Source organism: Homo sapiens, chromosome 8 (genome assembly GCF_000001405.40).
Source record: "Homo sapiens chromosome 8, GRCh38.p14 Primary Assembly".
Taxonomy (NCBI): Eukaryota; Metazoa; Chordata; class Mammalia; order Primates; family Hominidae; genus Homo; species Homo sapiens.
The window spans coordinates 142,256,687-142,274,566 of record NC_000008.11 but is presented as its reverse complement, the minus strand read 5'-3'; the positions used below and the strand labels follow the sequence as shown (position 1 = coordinate 142,274,566).

The following is a 17,880-nucleotide window of genomic DNA, read 5'->3' as shown; positions in this document are numbered from 1 at the left end:
GTCGGCACCGTCTCCTCTCTTGTATGCACCACGCCGCCCTCTCCCATGGATCCGGGGTGCAGCCGAGGGGAGGGCCCTTGGGGCCTTCCCGCTCCACCTCCTGTGCCAGATGCTGACATGCAGCTCAGTGTCCATACTGGGGCGGGGAACTGCAGAGGGGACTTTGTGGTTGGGGCAGGTCAGTGGCTCAGAGGGAACAAGAAAGCTCAGGCCTTTATTTTCTTGAAGTGGGACTTGGAGCTACCTTGAGGACTAGCCACTCACTGGGCCTTGTTGCTGACTTGTGGTCACCACAAGAAGACCTGACAGGTCAGGCTGGCTGGAGACTGTGGCCCAGCTGAGATGGAGGCCCAGCCGCTGTCTTCCCCTCACTGGCTCTGTCCCCATTGTGGCCTGGTGCTCCCCACTGGCCCTGACGGGCAGAGATGACCAGAGCCTGTTCCTCAAGGAGTCCCAGGGGCCAGGCAGGCTGGACATTAAGTCCAGCAAGGTGAGGGTGGCATGGGCCACGGTGGGAGCGCAGAAGAAGCCCCTGGGCCAGCTGGGGCCAGGAGAGCACACACTCTTGAGGGCGGAGCAGGGGCAGTATTGGCAGACGAGATGGTGCAGTGGGTGTGAGGCCAGGGTCCAGGAGCAGCCAGACGAGCCCAGGACATCACAGGCAGGTGTGACGAGAGAGGAGCCACATCCCCAGGACGCTGGGATATCACAGCTGTGCCCGCAGAGGGTCCTCAGTTGCCTCAGGGGTGCAAGAGGAAAAGGGGGCCGCAGCTGGAACCACGCAGGGGCCTGACTGGGTGGAGAATGAGGGAAAGGCCAGGGCTGCCTTGAGCTTCCCCAGTGGGACCCAGCCCGGGCACCCCCACTGTGGGAGTGTGTGGTAACGGGGAGGCTGATCCCAGTTTGGGCCTCCCCATTTCTGTCGGGGGCCATGAGACTCAGAAGGTTCAGGTCACCAAGGGTCAGTCCCTGTTGACAGCTGGTGAACGCCAGGCCGGGAGACAAGACCTGGGAGAGGCTGTGCCAAGGTCACCTGCAGGATGAGGTCAGAGGCAAGGCTGGGGCTGGGTCTCCTGGCGCCAGCTCTGGGCTGTTTGGCCTCAGCCCTTGGCCCAGCACCTCTAGTCGCTGAGGGCAGCTAGGCCCAGGGGCCTCCAGGAGGCAGAAGGTGATGGGCAGAAGGTGACGCCTGGTGACGGGCAAGGTGGACTCGCTGGAAACTCAGGGCCACACCACGCAGAAGGCCTTGTTTCAAGAGGAAAGCCAGCCAGCAAGATGACCCCTCCTGAGCACCCTGGGATCACCTGGTCAGAAGCAGCGCTGATGCCTGGGACGGCAGGAGGACGATGGGACAGTGAGGAAGAGGAGGAGGTGAAGGAGGAGGAGGAAAGGAGGGCAGTGGCAACTGGGCCAGCCACCTGTGCCATGGACGCCGTGCCGCATTCCCAGTGAGCCTGTGGGCTCAGTCCTGGCAGAGCAGGCACCGCCCCCCCGACACACTGCAGAGGAGGTGGGCAAGGCTCAGGCCCAGGAGGCGGCCGTGAAGTCACCTCTGCATAGACTGTCCCACTCCTGTTCCCGAGGGGGTCCACCAGGGAGTATCAGGGAGGGATGAGGCATCTGTGAAGTTGCCTCTGCATAGAATGTCCTGCTCCCACCTGCCTGCGAGGGGCCTTCCCCACGGTGTCAGGAGGGTTGAGGCATCTGTGAAGTTGCCTCTGCATAGAATGTCCTGTTCCCGCCTGCGAGGGGCCCTCCCCACGGTGTGTCAGGAGGGACCAGGTGTCTGTGAAGTCGCCTCTGCGTAGAATGTCCTGCTCCTACCTGCAAGGGGCCCTCCCCACGGTGTGTCAGGAGGGATGAGGCCTCTGTGAAGTCGCCTCTGCATAGAATGTCCTGCTCCCGCTTGCGAGGGGCCTCTAGATGGGCGGGTGGATGGATGGAAGGAGGAAGGTGTAGATGGGTGGGTGGATGGAAGGAGGAAGGTGTAGACGGGTGGGTGGATGGAAGGAAGGTGTAGACAGGTGGGTAGATGGAAGGAGGAAGCTGTAGACGGGTGGTGGATGGATGGAAGAAGGAAGGTGTAGACGGGCAGTTGGATGGGTGGATGGAAGGAGGAAGGTGTAGACAGGCGGGTGGATAGGTGGATGGAAGGAGGAAGGTGTAGATGGGCGGGTGGATGGATGGAAGGAGGAAGGTGTAGACGGGTGGGTGGATGGAAAGAGGAAGGTGTAGACGGGCGGGTGGATGGGTAGATGGAGGAAGGTGTAGATGGGCGGGTGGCTAGGTGGAAGGAGGAAGGTGTAGACGGGCAGGTGGATGGGTAGATGGAAGGAGGAAGGAGTAGATGGGTGAGTGGCTGGGTGGATGGACAGACAGCATGGATAAATGGGTGAGTAGACGGATGGATGGATGAATAGAAGGAAGAGGAGGTTGGAAGGGGTTGGCTGGACAGTGATGAACAGACAGGTGGACAGATGAGTGGATGTGGTGGGCGTGTCTATGTGGAGGAATAGACACTTGGGTAGCAGGATGGCGGGTAGACCAGAGGGCAGGCGGACGAGCGGATGGAGCACAGGGGAGTCGGTGGGAGGATGAATACAAGTGGTGCTGTGATGAGTGGGCACGCAGGCTTTGCATTTGGACAGGCTGTGGCTTCAGTCCCAGCACTACTAGAGTAAATGTGCCCACCTCTCTGGGTCTGTTTCCTCATCTCTCAAACGGGTGCAACTCCCACTGCAGACGGAGCATCGTGAGACCCATACAGCTCCAGGTGCAGAGGCCTCACATGGGCACTCTCCCTGCACCCTGCTCACCCTCCAGATCACTGGGTTTTGGGTGTGCAGGCTGACATTTTCCTGTCTCCCTCTGTTAGCTGATGAGGAGGACGAGACCCCCAGCTGCTTGTGGCTGCCCCTGAGGTCCCTGGAAGGGCCCAGCCTGCCTGAACCTGACCCCCTGGACTTACGAGGAGTCTTCCACGCACCCACCTCCTCACCCTCCCCACCTGCTTCCCCAGCCTCCACCCCACCAGCAACCACACTCATGGGGGCCTTCCAGCCTTCCCCGCCCTCTTCGGCGCCAGCACCTCCCTTGCCCTCCAGGAGGACCCCAGCGGCAGCATCTGAAACGTCCGCATTTGAGCAGCAGCTGCTGGACTCCCACCGGCAGCAGGGCGCCCTGCTGTCCTCCTGGGCCCAGCAGCAGAGCACACTCATGGCCCAGCAAAACCTGCTGCTGCAGCGGCTGGCCGAGCAGAGCCAGCGTCTGGCCGATGGCGTGGAGGCCCTCAACCGGACCCTCGAGAGGCTGGTGGAAGCACGCCCTACCCGGGAAGCCTCACCCTCACTCCAGGACGGTAGTCCTGCCAGTGGAGTGGCCCAGGGGCCTGCTGGAGGCTCCCAGGACAGCCCCAAGGGCACCCACTCGGGGCTCGAGGTCTTCTCAGGGATGATCTTGAAGGTGGAGGAGGAGATATAGGGCTGGTCGGGGGTGCTGGCAGAGCCAAAGGGCAGGAGCAGGGCCTCCAGTCTTTCCCCTGCTGAGTCCAGGCAGGGGAGAGGTGGCAGTGACTGGGTCTCCAGGGCACCGGGACAACTCCAGTCCAGGAGACCGGAAGGATGAGAGGATGTGGGCTGTCTACCTGTGATGTCGCGTCCTTGCCATTGCCTGTAGAGGGTGGTGACCTGCAGGGAAAGGCTGCAGAGAGCCGACCTGTGGGACTCAGTGGACCAGGTCTACTCAGGGATGATGCTGTTGGAGGCTCCAACCCCATGTGGCAGCAGCTGCGAAGTCTGCAGCCCAGCGTCCCTGGAAGCAGGGGAGGTGGGGAAGATGCACTGAGGGGCCCCCTGCTCACTGGAACTCTGGAAAGGGTGGCTCAGCCAGGCTCTAAAAAGGTCCCAAGCGTGATCTGGTGTGACTCCTGAAAGCCCCTGTCCCTTTGGTGGGCATGCACACTTGGAGGGCAGGGCTCCTCTGCCCTACGTGGTTCTGGCCCAGGGGAACCACATCCCATATGCCTGGAATAATTTCTATCCAATTTTCTGTTATAAATACATAAATATATATATATATATATATATGCCTATATATTACTTGGTACTGTATGGGGCTGGGATGACATTTTGTACCTGTAGATTTTTCTTGCAAAAAGTATTTTTTTACATAAGCATAAAATGACAAAGCAGGCAGCAGTGCGGCTGCTGACGAGCACGTGAGTTGGAGCCTGCTTCTCGGGCGTGGCAGGCACCGCTGCTTTCAGCCTCCCTGCGGGGGCCTGGGCACTTCCCTGCGTCTTCAGATCCTTCTTCCTCCATTACCTCCTTTGACTCTTGGGAGATCCCTTGGCGGGGCTGCCACATCTCCAGTCCCTGCGCGGCAGGGCACAGTCTGCAGCCCCCCAGCCTAGGCAGCCGTCGGGAGCGAGCAGGAGCGGGAGGTGGGACCAGCCCGGGCCTTGGCTAGTCTGGGGCCTCTGCCTGGCTCCCATGGCCCAAAGCCTGTCCCAGGAGCAAGATGCTGGCTGACTGGCTTGAGTGGGAGGCATGCTGGTCCCAGGAGCTTCCGGGGAAGCTCTGGCACAGCCGAGAGTCAAAAGACTACAGCATCCCTGAGAGCAGGGAGAGGGGCCTTTTCCTCGTTTTGCGTTTTCCCCTGGAGCCAGCAATGTGTCAGTAACTTGTCTATGAAAGAACCTGAGGTGTAGCCACATGTCCAGCTGCCTTCTGCGCACGCCTGGCCTCCCTCCAGGCTACCCCTTCTATGGGTGCGCATGGTGCTGCTGTTGGTTCTGGGCGGGGCCTCCACTCTGATGGTTCCACCCTGGGAAAGCTGGCCTTCCATCCTGCCAAACCAGATGACCTCAGTCCCACCACCTCCAGGAAGCCTCTGTAGATCTTCATTCTGGGTTCTTGTCCATTAAAAATACCCACCATGGCCTGGGCACAGTGGCTCATGCCTGTAATCACAGCACTTTGGGAGGCTGAGGCAGGAAGATCACTTGAGGCCAGGAGTTCGAGACCAGCCTGGACAGCATAGCAAAACCTTGCTTCTACAGAAAATAAAGCTTAATAAATAAAGATACCCAGCACGGCTGACAGTGGCCTCGTATGGCTGTGTGTGTTTTCTGTCTTGCGTTACAGTCTTAACCTGGACACAGCCTCTACTCTGGTGCTAGCTGAGCCCCAACCTTCACCCCACACTGTGTCCTGACTGCAGTTGCACATTGAGCCTTGACCCTGAGCCCTGATCCTGCTCCTGCACTATGTCCTGACCCCAGTTACACATGGAGCATTGATCCTGGTCACTGACTTAGCCCTGATCCTGGTGACAGACTTGGCCCTGATTCTGATCACACACTGAGCCTGATCCTAGTTACACACTAAGCTCTGGCCCCAGCCCTGACCCTGGTCAGTCCAGGCATCTTCTGGGAGTATCCTCTGGGCTGAGCCCTTACTAAGTGCTGAGGATACAGAAACAACCAAGGCAAACTTGAGGCCTCTTCTTCCAGAGCTTAGCGTGTGCTACAGAAAACGTATACTAAGCAAGTCAGTACATATTTGATGAAAGTTATTTTGTGTATCAGTTAAAAATCAGTGTAACTGCATTTGGTAGGAAACAGAGAATAGGGTGTCTTAGAGTAGATAGGCGTCATGGCCCCTACGTCACCGACATTGATGACCTGGAGCTGGCAAGGCAGGGCCACAGTCCTCAGAGGTCCAGGTGTCTTTCTGCTCCCTTCTCTGCCGTGGTCCTCATGGCCCAGGATGGCTGCAGGCCTCCCCCCATCACGCTTGTGTTTCAGGTAGCAGGGTGTAGGGAAGGAATGGAGGAAGGTCACACACCCTCCCTTGAAGGAGATCTCTGCCTGCATCTCAGCCCACTGACTGGGAGTTAGTCAGATGCCCACATTTCGTTGCATTAGAAGCTGGAAAACACGGCTTCAGCCCCAAATCAGGATTTTGTTACTAAGACGGAAGGGACTGGATGCTGGGGTAGGCAGCGTGCAATCTGCCAAGCTGGGGCGTTGACAGAGCTGGGATTGCACAGTCTAGAGTGTCGGGGGCTTCCCTGCAGGACGGACAGCAGAGGCCTCCAAGGCGATTTGGCAGTAATCACTGCAGCCAGCGAGGGGCAGGAAGATCCAGAAGTACCTCAGGCAGAGAAGACCAAGGGCCAAGCTAGGAGAGCCGGCTTCACCTCTGCATTGTGGCTGAGGAGCAGGGACTCGAGAACTTAGGGGCAGAATGGGTAAGTCCTGGTCCATGTGTCTCCACAGTGCACACGTGCCCTTTGCACTCTAGGACAGTTTCCTGAGAGCTGCTCAGATGCCGAGAGGCCAGGCAGGAGCATGGCCAGGACAGCAGATGGCTGTCCATGAAGCTCCATCATCCAGTGGGGGCATGGAATGGCAGGTGGCACGCAGGGAGGGCAGAGGCCATGCCTGGCCCTGAGGGCAAGGGTGTTTCTGGATGAAAGGAGAACCAGGAGGGTCCAGGAGTGTTGCCCTCAGATCTGGGCCTGGAAACCCCTTCTCTTGGATGTGGGCCAGGGGTGGCCTGAGGTTCGCCAGGAAGGAGACTGTGGTCTTGGCTTCACCAGGAACCTGTCAGGATCAGAGCTTTTGAGGAAGGAATGCTCTTAGCAAGCGTGTGAGAGAGGCACCCGGGAAGACCTTGAGGGTTGCCGACCTATCCCAGATGGGATTTCAGTGGGATTCGTATCCACACTGCTCACCTTGGACACTGTGCTTCTTGCATTCCATCCCCCAGGCAGCCCAAATGTTTACCAGGAGAGATTAGGAGGATGGTGGGTCTGTGATGAGAAATAGGATGTGGCATTCTGTGGCGGAGCTTGCCTGCAGGGCCTTCCAAGGTGTGTTTTAGAAAGAGGCCGGGGGGAGTGGCAGGGATGGTTCCTGTCAGAGCTAGAGAGCCCGGGTCCCCTCACTAGGTCCCCCATTTTACAGACAGACTGAGAGCCCAGGGTGGTATTGGAGGGGTGGTGTTGAAGCTGCAGGGTCATGTCCAGGTTCACAGAGAGTGCTAGAGGCAGGCCTTGAACCAGGTGTCTGGATTCCAAGTTCATGCCCTTTCCCTACGCAGTGCTGCATTCCAGGTGAGTGAGGACAGTTTTCAGGTGCCTCATCCATCTGGCTCAAATGAGCACGGCCAGCTTGCCCACCCTAGAGGATCTCAGGAAATGAGGAAGGTTCTTGCCCTGAGCCTGAATAAGCACCAGGTCCACCTGTGGATCCTGGATCCAAGAAGAAGGTTCTGGAGAAAAGATCCCCTAGTCAGGCCTTTGGGATACCCACAAAATAAGAAGAATCTTTTGGGCCTCCAGTTGGAAATCACTTGGTCTGTAATGGGGAAAGCCGTTGAGGGAAAACCAGGAGGAATATCCAACAAGAGCAAAAATATCAAGTTTAGACCCCAAAAGATTTTAGCTGTTGCAATTAATCAGACATATAATATGATTTCTGTGAAATATTTTTAAAAATAAAAAGATGAAATCACAAAAATGAGCAATAAGATTCTAAAAAGTGATTAGGCCGATCTGTGAAATATCAGTATGGCTTTTAGAAATGAAGAACTTTGTGGATGGGTTAAGCAACATACTGGACATAGATGAAGTTAGTAATAGCAAACTCGAAGATTTCTAAAGAAATAATGTTGCAAAGAGAGGTAAGAAAATAGAAACTACGACAGATGAAGAGATGGGGAGAGTAGAACCAGAGATGCAACATATGTCGTCTTGGAGTCCCGGAAGAGGAGGATCAGTGAAATGGAGGAAAGCAGTGTGTGAAGAGGTCGTTGATGTGATGTGTGATTCCACAGACACAGGAAGCACGAGCATACTGAACACATACATGAAATACCTTCCTGGGCACATCATGGGTGAACTGTGGAACAGCACAGAGAAAGGGAAAGCCTCAAGCAATTTGAAAGAAGGGAGAAGTGATGACAAATTTGCCGACATTTCACATTACATTGGCAGCAGAGGAAGCCAGAAAATGGTAGTATCTACAAAGTATTGAGAGAAAGTCGCTGTCAACTTAGAATTCTGCAACTGACAAGACTACCTTTCAAGATTAAAGGCAAAATACAGACATTCTATCCAAATAAAAACTGCGAGGGCTTACCACCAACAGGCCTTCATGAAAAGGGGTTTCCAAAAAATGGACTTCAAGGTGAAGGACTGGAATCCCAGAAAGAGTATGTGTAATGCAAGAAGAATAGTGAACCAAGAAATTGGTAAATGTGTAAGTAAATCCAAATCCTCATTAAGGTTTTAAAAAGTCCATAATTACTAGAATGTCTAATTTGTGGAATAGATTTTTTACAAAGGATGGAACTACTGGACAATGATAGTATATTAAAGGTGAAGAATTGTCCAAATATTCTGAGATCCTTGTATTTGCAGGGGAGTTAAATATTGATTAATTTTAGCCTGTGCTAGTAACTGTACATCATAAAAAAGCTCAAGGGTTCCTTCATCAAAATTGGAAACTTCTGTTCTGCAAGAGATCCTGTTAAGGGAATGAAAAGAGAAGCCAGTGACTAGTAGAATATATTTGCAAATCACATGTCTGATGAAGGATGTATCCAGAATATATAAAAAGCTCTCTAATTTCAACTGAAAGAAAACAATTCCATCAGAAAGTGCACAACAATTTGATCCGACACTCACCAAAGTAGATATATGGGTAGCAAGTAGGCTCATGAAAAGATGCCCCACAGCAGTAGCCATGAGGGAAATACACATTAAGCCCACACCGCGATGCCACTGCCTGCCGCTGAAGTGACCAAGAGGCACGGGGGTGAGGAGAAATGGCTCGCTCATGCACTGCTGTTGGGCATGTCAAATGTTACAGCCACTCTGAAAAACAGTTTTGTAGTTTCTTCAACATGTAAACATAACACTTACTATACAACACAACAGTTTCACTCCTGGGCATTTATCCTAGAGAAAGAAAAACTCATGTTCACACCAACACTTGCACACAGATGTTCATCGTGTCTTTATCTGCCATGGCCCCAAAGTGGAAAAGCCCTGCTGTGCCTCTGCAGGTGAGCAGGTGAACAGACTGCCACGGCCACACAGTGGAGTTCTACCCAGGAACAAAAGGAGCCCACTCGGAAATGCCAGCAACTCAGACGGTTCTTAAGGCATTGTGCTTAATGAAAAAGCCAGTCTCGAAAAGGCCATGCTTTGTGACTCCATTTCTGTAACATTCTCAAAAGGGCGAGATCACAGGGATGGAGGGCAGAGCGGTGGCTGGTTGTCAAGGGTTAGGGAAGTGGAGTGGGGTAGGGTGCAGTTGTAAAAGGCTGCAGGAGAGCCTTGTGGTGGTGGGACAGTTTTGTATTTTGAACATGGTGCTGGTGACATGAATCTACATATGTGATAAAATTTCATAGAACTACACACACACACAAACTGAGTAGAAAGTTAATAAGAAACTGAAGACTAAGGTAACCTAAGAGTATTAGAGTATATAACTTCCAAATCAGTAAAAATGGAATAAGAATACAATTAAACAAAAACCTATGTTGAATAGAAAGGAGAAGGCAAAAAATGCAACAAAAAGAAAAGGAGAAGCAGATAACACAGAAGAAAAATGCAGGACAGGGCGAGAACACAAAGAAGCATTTGGAACTGTCCAGTGAGCAAAATAAATGCAGACAGATTAAAAGGGCTCATCAGAGTTAAGGACTGTCAGATTGGAGGAAAAAATAACACCTTTACTATTGACAAGAGAGGCACTCCAACATAGGACCAAAGGGGCATTGGAAGGAAAGGTGTGAAGATTTGCCAGTCAAAAGCTATGCAAAAGAGAGCTTAAGTAGCAATGTTAATTTTAGACAAAATGGACTTTAAGACAAAAAGTATATATTAAGGATACACTGGAGTCACTCCAGAATGGGTTCAGCTCATCGGGAGGATGAAAAATCCTAAACCCTTCTACACTTAATAAAATACATAAAGCAAAAGTGGGTAGAATTACAGAAGGAAATCAATGAATCTATCAGGACAGCGGAAGGTTTCAGCACGTTGTTTTAGAGATTGATGGGGAGTGTCAGCAGGAAACCTAAAAATTTGAACACCAGCGCTGAACTTCACGGATGCTTACAGAACCCTCTGCTACACAAATAGAGGGCACTCATTTTCTCAGGTACAACCGGAATATTTCCAGATTTTGACCATGGACTAGGTCATAAAGCAAGAGTCAAAACATTTCAAAAGATCAGTAATGTGTAGAACACTTCAATCACTAGAAAATGCAGTTAGAAAAATGCAGCCATTAGATATTGGTGGCAAAAAATAAAAAGGTCATTGTATGTTTGGAAATTTTAAAACAGTTCTACATAACTCAGAGGTCAAAGAAGAAATCATTAAGGGATATGAAGTTAATAGCTAGGTACAAAGACATGATTGGATACTATTGAAAATACTGCATATCAAAATTTGTGGGAGACTTCAATGAAACTTAGTAGCCTTCAATGCTTATACTACCAAAGAAAGCTGAAAATTAAAATAGACATTAAAAAGACTTTTTTTAAGTAAAGGAACAACAGAATGAACCCAAAGAAATAGAAGGAAGAAACTTGTAAAGACAGGAGCAGAGTTAACTTTAACTTTAACTTGTTAAAATTTTAATGGAAGGCGCTACAAAGTCCAAAGCCAGTTCTTAGGAAGGACCATTTAAATAGTTGAACTACTAGCAACAGCAGTCCAGGAGAGAAAGAGCAGACATTTCAAAATAACAAGAGGAGTCCATGGATAATCTCATGCCAACACATGGGGAAACTCAGCTAAAAAATAGACAGATTCCTAGAAAAGTCCACTTTGCCAACATCAACTCTAAATAGCCTCAGTCATTCTTTAAAGAAATTGAATCAGTAGGAAAAATTCTTTCCATGGTGAAGACACTAAACCCAGATGATTTTTAAAGCGTATTCTACCCCACTTTCAAGGAAGAAATCCAGTCTTACACAAACCTTCCAAAGAAAAATAAAAAGAGGGGAAATTCCTAAACGCATAGGATGAGGAACAAGCACACGAGAAGGGGATGTTTGAGGCCAGTCCACCCCTTGAACTAAACCGTGGTGATCCCAAAGAAAACACTAGCAAACTGCAACCAGAAGTGTTTGGAGATACGGCATCCTCGCCAGGTTGGATTTACGCTGGAAGTGGATTTAACACTGCTTATTTATTCATTTAATCAACAGGAAACCTATAAATAGAATTCACCCCACTGGAATAGAAGAAATAAGAAAAAGCAGATGATTGCCATTTCCAGACGTCCTGAGAAAGTATTTGTTACAATTGAATACCCATTCATATTTTTAAGACTCATCAAAATAGAAAGGCAAGAATTTTCTTAACTGACCAGGATTATCTACCAAAACCTCAACAGCGAACATTCACGGTGAGATATGAGGAGCCCTCCTTTAAAAACAGAGAAAGTCGAGGGTGCTAGCTGGGCTCAGTTAGAAAGGACACCCAATCATATGTAAAGACTGGAAAAGAGGAAACACAACTGTCTTTATTCATAAAAAGAACTCCTGGACAAATTAGTAGAATTTATAAGAGAGTTTGTGAAGTGGCTCGTCTAAAGTCCACATGTTATTACAATCAAAGGCGTTTCCGTACATAGTCAATAAGTGTGTTAGTCCATTCTTGCTTTGCTGTAGAGAAATACCTGAGACTGGGTAATTTATAAAGAAAAGAGGCGTGATTGGCTCACGGTTCTGCAGGCTGTACGGGAAGCATAGCGGCTTCTGCTTCTGGGGAGGCCTCAGGGAACTTACAATCATGGTGGAAGGCGAAGGGGAAGTAGGCACGTCTTACATGCCTGGAGCAGGAGCAAGAGAGGTGGGGGAGGTGCCACACACTTTTAAACAACCAGATCTTGTGAGAACTCACTATCGCCATGACAGCACTAGGGGGATGGCATTAAACCGTGAGAAACCGGCCCTCATGATCCAGGCACCTCCCACCAGGCCTCCAACACTGAAGATTACAGTTGGACATGAGATTTGGGCGGGTACACACATCCAAACCATATTAATAAGTAAGCTGCATTGAAAAACATACCATTTATAATACCAGCAAAAATACCATGTGTAAAATAACAAAATATGAGGACAATATTTGTGGAGAAAATTATAAAGCTTTATTACAATACATAAAAAATTCTAAATAAATGGACACACACACACACACACACACACGTTCATGGATAGGAAGAGTGGGTTTTGTAAAGCTGCCAATTCCCAAATCTATAGGCTCAATGCAATTCCAATCAAAATTCTGATAGTGTTTTTCAAGGAGTTTGGCAGGCTGATTATAAAGTTTGTGAGCAAACGAAGGCCTAAAAACAGCCATGCCACCTGGAAGAAGAAGGACGAGGTAGAGAGACTGCTGTCCCACCACGGAGTCGCCGCAGGCCTGAAGGGGACTTCGGTGTCTGCTGGAGGGCTGGGCCTTGTCTTGTTACCATGAGCAGGTTGGCGTGAGCAGCTTCATGAGCCTGTGAGAGGGACACCAGGCAAGAGTTGATGGGGCTGGGAGCAGGCTGGCCCCGCCGTGGGATGGAAGGAGTGGCTGTTGGGGAGATGCCCTGGGCAGCTGTGGCCGGCAGGACTCTCCTGGGCATAAGCCCTGCTGCCCAGGTTGGACTTGGCTGGCATCTGGCACTGTGACCTGTGCCCCCAGGGCAGGTCTGAAGGACAGACTCGTAGCATGTTGGAGGAGGCTCTGCTGGGTATAGCGAGGGCAGCCTCAGACCCCTCTATGCCCGTGAGCTGCCTTGTCGGAGCTCGTGGTTTGGCAGGAAGGCCGGGAAAACGCAATCGTTAAAGGAGAATAATAACCCCCTGCACCCCCACCCCGGGGCCGTGGCCAGGATGAGGAGCAAGGAGAAATGCTGCCTTCACAGATCTTTCCTCCGCCAGGAACATCCTGGGGCTCACATGGGTCAATGCATTGAGGCATCACAGCGCCTGTGCAGTGGGAGCGGCTATAGTCTTCAAATAACTACAGAAAGCAGGGAGTGCCAGCATCCCAGCATGTGCTGAGTTCCCAGCAGGTGTTCACCACTCTCCCTCCCCGGTCCTCCCTCTCTCCTTCATCCCTCCTTCCTCTCTCCTCCCACTATCCCTCCCTCCCCCCTCTCTCCTCCATCCCTCCTCCCTCATCCTCCCACTCTCCCTCCCTCCCTCCTCCCTCTCTCCTCCATCCCTCCTTCCTCTCTCCTTCCCTCCTCCCTCCCTCTATCCTCTCTCTCTCCTTCCTTCCCTCCTCCCTCTCTCCTTCTCTCCCTCTTCCCTTCTCTCCCTCCTCCCTCTCCCCTCCCTTCCTCTCTCCTTCCTCCCACATCCTTCCCTCTCTCCTCCCTCCCTTCTACCTCTTTCCTCCTTCCCTCCCTCCTCTCTCTCTCCTTCCCTGCTCCCCCTCTCTTCCCTCCTTCCTCCTTTCCTCTCTCCTCCCTCCTGCTTCCCTCTTTCCTTCCTCCCTCCTCTTTCTCTCCTCCCTGTCTCCTCTCCTCCCTCCCCACCCCCCTCCCTCTCTCCTCCCTCCCTCCCTCCCTGACTGCTTTGTCCTCTCTGCATCCTGCCTTGCTGCTTCCCCTTAGGTCTCAGATATGTGCTTATCAGAAGATCTGCCCTCACCTTCCCTTCCCTCCCTGACCCAGCTGCAGAGGCTCTGCCCTGTGGTCTCCCTCCCTGTGGAACATTAGCTCTGGGGCAGGGCTTTAGTGCCTGAGGCAGAGCTCTGCATGCAGTAGGTGCTCAGTAAAGGCAGATCACAGAGTGCATGTGCCCTCTGTGCTTCCCCCAGGAACTGGTGAGGCTGGGGCGTCAGGATCTTTCCCGGGGGACTCAGCCGACTGCTGGGGTGAGATGAAGACATGCAGAGAGGTCTCTGGCCACATCGAAGCTTTCCAGGGGAACGGGGCTCAAGGTTCTGAGAAGTGAGGCTGGGTCAGATGGTGGCTAAAGAGTTTGGGCTTCTGAGTTAATCCAAGGCCAACAAAGGGCAAGGTTAGCTGATAACCCACCCAGCCTCCCTGGCCGTGGGCCCCGGCCAGTTTATGCCCCAAGGGAGGACAGAGGACGCCTGGCCAGGGAGGGCTGAGTCCCTTGAGAGTGGGCTGCCAGACCCGGCCCCAGTGCCCATGCTTGCTCATCTGGCCCTCAACTTCCCGACTCGCTTTTCTTCCCTCCTTCCCTTCTCTCTTTCCATCTCTAAACAGTTGTGCTTCTGTGGCTCTCAGGCTCTGAGCTAGTTGTGCTGAAATCATGATTTGACTTTTTCTACTTTCTTCCCTGTAAAATTAGGGGCCTGCCCCAGGGTAAGACGTTGCACGCTTTTCTGAGGTGGCTTCCAGGTGGCAGGCTCTGGGTTCGGGGCTGTGGAGACCGGAGGAAGGAGTTAGCCATTGGCTCTAGGGAATCAAGGGAGGCTTCCTGGAGGAAGAGACACTTAACTGTGCCTGGAAGCCAGGCCCAAGCAGAGGCGGGCTGGGGGAGTGCAGAGGGTGAGTCCTGGGCCTCTGCGGCCCGAGGGCACCTGGGCAGGGTGGGGCCAGTTTGGGAAGGTGCACCAGGCCCTGAACCACTGCCCTGTTCCTGAGGGCCAAATTTCCTCGCCACAACAGCCTTCAGGGTTTGCTACGAGGCATCCCCTAGGTGCCCCCGGGGGAAGGCGTGCCACCAAGTCTCCTTCCAGAACCCCTTAGTTGCATTCTTAGCAACTCGGTATTCTAATCCTGAGAGCTGGGAGCAGCCACGTTGCAGGCAGGGAAGTAGCAGAACGGTAGGGGAAGGGGCCTGCGCCGGTGCTGGGGTGGCAGCCCTGTAAGAGGCTGCTTGTGGGGGACGTGGGCCTGTGTCCGGGGCGAAGGAGGCTGCCTTTTAATTGGGAGGCCAAGCAGGTTAAATAAACAGCAATTGGATTTTGCTGAGGCCTGAGCTGCCTGCAGTGTCCGCGGGTACAGAGAACACTGGAGAATCTCATTTTCGTGATCAGATTGTTATAGATTCTTCCCCCAGTCTGCTGAGAAATGTAAATGTGAATTGTGTTTCCAGGTGCTGTAAAGGACAGCCTGTAGGGGTATGGGGGGCAGGGAGGGTGACCCAGTCTGAACTCGGCCCTCTCAGGCCTGGGACCCCAGAAACCGTGCCCTTTCCTGTCTACAGAAGCTCTGGCCGTGCCCACTTGACCAGTCCTTCTCTGGGAGAATGCTGAACAGAAAAATAACCCTAGGCAAAGATTTAAATCAATCTGCTGCGTCTAATAAATACCAGGCTCACAGCTGAGGGAAGGGTAGAGACAGCAGTCACGGGAGTTGGGGTGCTGTCGCCCTTCTGCCCCTCGGCCCCGTCCTCAGACAACGTGCCCATCCTCCTCACCTCACCTGGGAGTGTCCTTGGTGACTCAGGAGCAACTTCAGAGTCAGACAGACCTGGGTTCAAGGTGGGCTGTGCCACGCCTCAGCTGCAGCGTGACTGTGGCTGGATGTATCTCGCCTGAGCTTGCCGGACCGTGCAAAGCGGTGGCTCAGGGGCCCCTTGGGCTGGCGGTGGGAGTAGGGCCCCGGTGATGCTGCACCCACACACACCTTGGACACCCCTCTGTTCTGGCACCGTGCCCTGCATCTGGGGCTCTTCCAGACTCTGAGCTGGGTGGGTTCTGGGGTCTCTGAGGTGAGCAACAGAAAGGCATGCGTTCTGGCTGGGCGTGGTGGTTCACGCTTGTAATCCCAGCACTTTGGGAGGCCAAGGTGGGTGGATCACTTGAGGTCAGGAGTTTGAGACCAGCCTGGCCCAACATGGCAAAACTCTGTCTCTACTAAAAATATGATAAAAAAGCAAAACCCTGTCTCTAATACAACTACAAAAAAAATTAGCCAGGTGTGGTGGTACATGCCCGTGATCCCAGCTACTTGGGTGGCTGAGGCATGAGAATGGCTTGAACCCAGGAGGCAGAGGTTGCAGTGAGCCTAGATCACGCCACGGCACTCCAGCCTGGGCAACAGAGTGAGACACTGTCTCAAAAAAAAAAAAAAAAAAAAAAGCACAAGTTCTGCAGCTGACTGGGTCCCAACTGAGGGAAGGCAGAAGGCCCAGGGGGCGAAGAGAAGACTTGTCCAAGATACAGTAAGCACTCCCTGAGTTCCACCTACAGCGTAGGTGTGCACTCGGGGCAGCAGTGGGCGGGTGCGTGCATTTACATATGCCTGCATGCATGCATCCGTGTGTGTGTGCATTTGTGTGCATGTGTGCAGTGTGCACACGCGTGCCTTCATGTACCAGTGTGCATTCCTGTATATGTGCACAGCTTATGCACTCGTGTACTGTGTGTGCACACAGGCATCTGTGTGTGCATACAGCGTGTGTACATGTGTATCCATGTGTGCCTTCGCGTGTGCCTTCGTGCATAGGCATGTTGCATGCAGGTGTGTACGTGTGTGCATGAGCATAGGTTTTGTGTGTGCATGTGTGAGCACAAGTGCATGTGTGCATGTGTGTATAAGCACAGGTGTGTGTGTGTGAGCTTGAGTGTTGTGTCTGTGAGACAGCACGGGTGGTGTGTGTGTGTGTGAGCTTGGGTGTTGTGTGCGTATGCGTGCTCAAGCTCTTATGCTCACCCAGGGGCAGTGGGTGGGAGCACCAAGGTGAGAGTGCCTCACTTTCTGGCTGTGGGGCCAGCAGAGTGGGCAGAAAGGGCTTCTCCCGGAGGCGGCTGGATCTCCATGAAGCAGTGAGTGTCTGGCAGGGGTGGCCTGGCCAGGGTGGGTAGAGGAAGAGTAGCACCCCCAGGGCCAGGCCTCCCACCCCTGGGTCATCGCGGGGATCTTTAGAGGGACCTGAGACCCTGCCTATCAGGCCCCTGGAGTTGTAACCTGGGAGGCCAGCTTGAAGCACCTTCCCAAACTGCTTCCTCCCAGCCTGTCAGCCTGGACCCCTGCAGCGGCAGGGGAGCTGCCCAGTGTCCCGGAGCCAAGCAGCTGCCAGGGAAGCAGAGGGGAGTGGTGGGTGGAATGTGGTGGCCTACAGGGGAGGAGGCTCCCAGAGTCTCCTGGCTGGGCAAGGCACCTGCCTGGGGGTCTCCAGGAGGCAGCACCTGACATCCTGTCCAGTCCAGGTGTTCTGGCTGTCCACGGCCAGCTGTCCAGTATGCCTCGGGCTTGCGGGGAGCTCCTGCCCTCCGCAGGCCCCTCCTGAGCACCGGCCCTGCAGAGGACCTTGTCCTGTCCAATCTGCCCCTCCATCTTTGCATGCTCAGCTAGGAGGGCCTGGGAACCCCGGGCTGCTCCAGTTGGGTGGGCTGCAGTCAGAGAGAGGAGGTTCCCTGTCCAAGGTCACCCCCGAAGTGGGCACTGTGCTGAAAGTGGAGACTTGCCTCCCTCGGAGAGAGGTGATGAGGGACACCGCCCCACGTCAGGGTGTCTGTGTCTATGGTGATTGGGGGATGGGTATGTGTGCGTGGGAAGGTCCCTTTCAAGGCAGAACAAAGCAGTTTGGAAGTGGTGGGGAATTGTGGCTCCTTTTAGCAACTGTATGCAAATGGCATGCAAATGAGCCTGTTTTCCCTCCAATACCTGTGGCTCAGAGCAACAGTGTTCCCCAGGACCCCTGAGGCAGCCCCTGACCCTGGTCCTCATTCACCAAGAAAAGCCCCTGCTTCAGAAATTGTGCTGAGTAGCAGTGGCTGCCATTGTTTGCTTAACAAATGAGGATTGTCCCCAGAGTCAGGCAGAACCCGGTTCTAATCCCAGCTCTGCCAGTGACGAGTTGTGTGCAACTTCGAGCATATTGCTTAATCTCTGCTCCTCATTGCGCTCTCCTGTAAAATATAATACCA

At 53.0% G+C, this 17,880-nt stretch overlaps 1 protein-coding gene across 25 annotated transcripts in view, besides 1 other annotated feature; it reads left to right on the top strand.

The window, feature by feature from the left end:
• The window catches only part of TSNARE1 (t-SNARE domain containing 1), a 194,950-nt gene that overhangs the window by 132,463 nt on the left and 44,607 nt on the right, over positions 1-17,880 (top strand). For 21 of the 25 annotated variants that reach the window (XM_047421491.1, XM_047421483.1, NM_001291931.2 and 18 more), the window contains one exon: positions 2,876-5,112. The exons of 3 other annotated variants lie outside the window; for them this stretch is intronic. In XM_047421491.1, the coding sequence (XP_047277447.1) occupies positions 2,876-2,920 (45 nt within the window). In that variant the 3' untranslated portion in view covers positions 2,921-5,112. Of the gene's footprint in view, positions 1-979; positions 1,511-2,875; positions 5,113-17,880 lie in introns of those variants that run through there. One more of the 25 variants, XR_007060718.1, reaches the window with a different exon arrangement.
• Positions 14,020-14,520: an enhancer, noted in NCBI's record as "H3K4me1 hESC enhancer chr8:143341408-143341908 (GRCh37/hg19 assembly coordinates)". NCBI's record gives its function as "activates a minimal SCP1, AML or CMV promoter by ChIP-STARR-seq in naive H9 embryonic stem cells {active_cell/tissue: H9 hESC(naive)}" and the evidence as "EXISTENCE:reporter gene assay evidence [ECO:0000049][PMID:30033119]".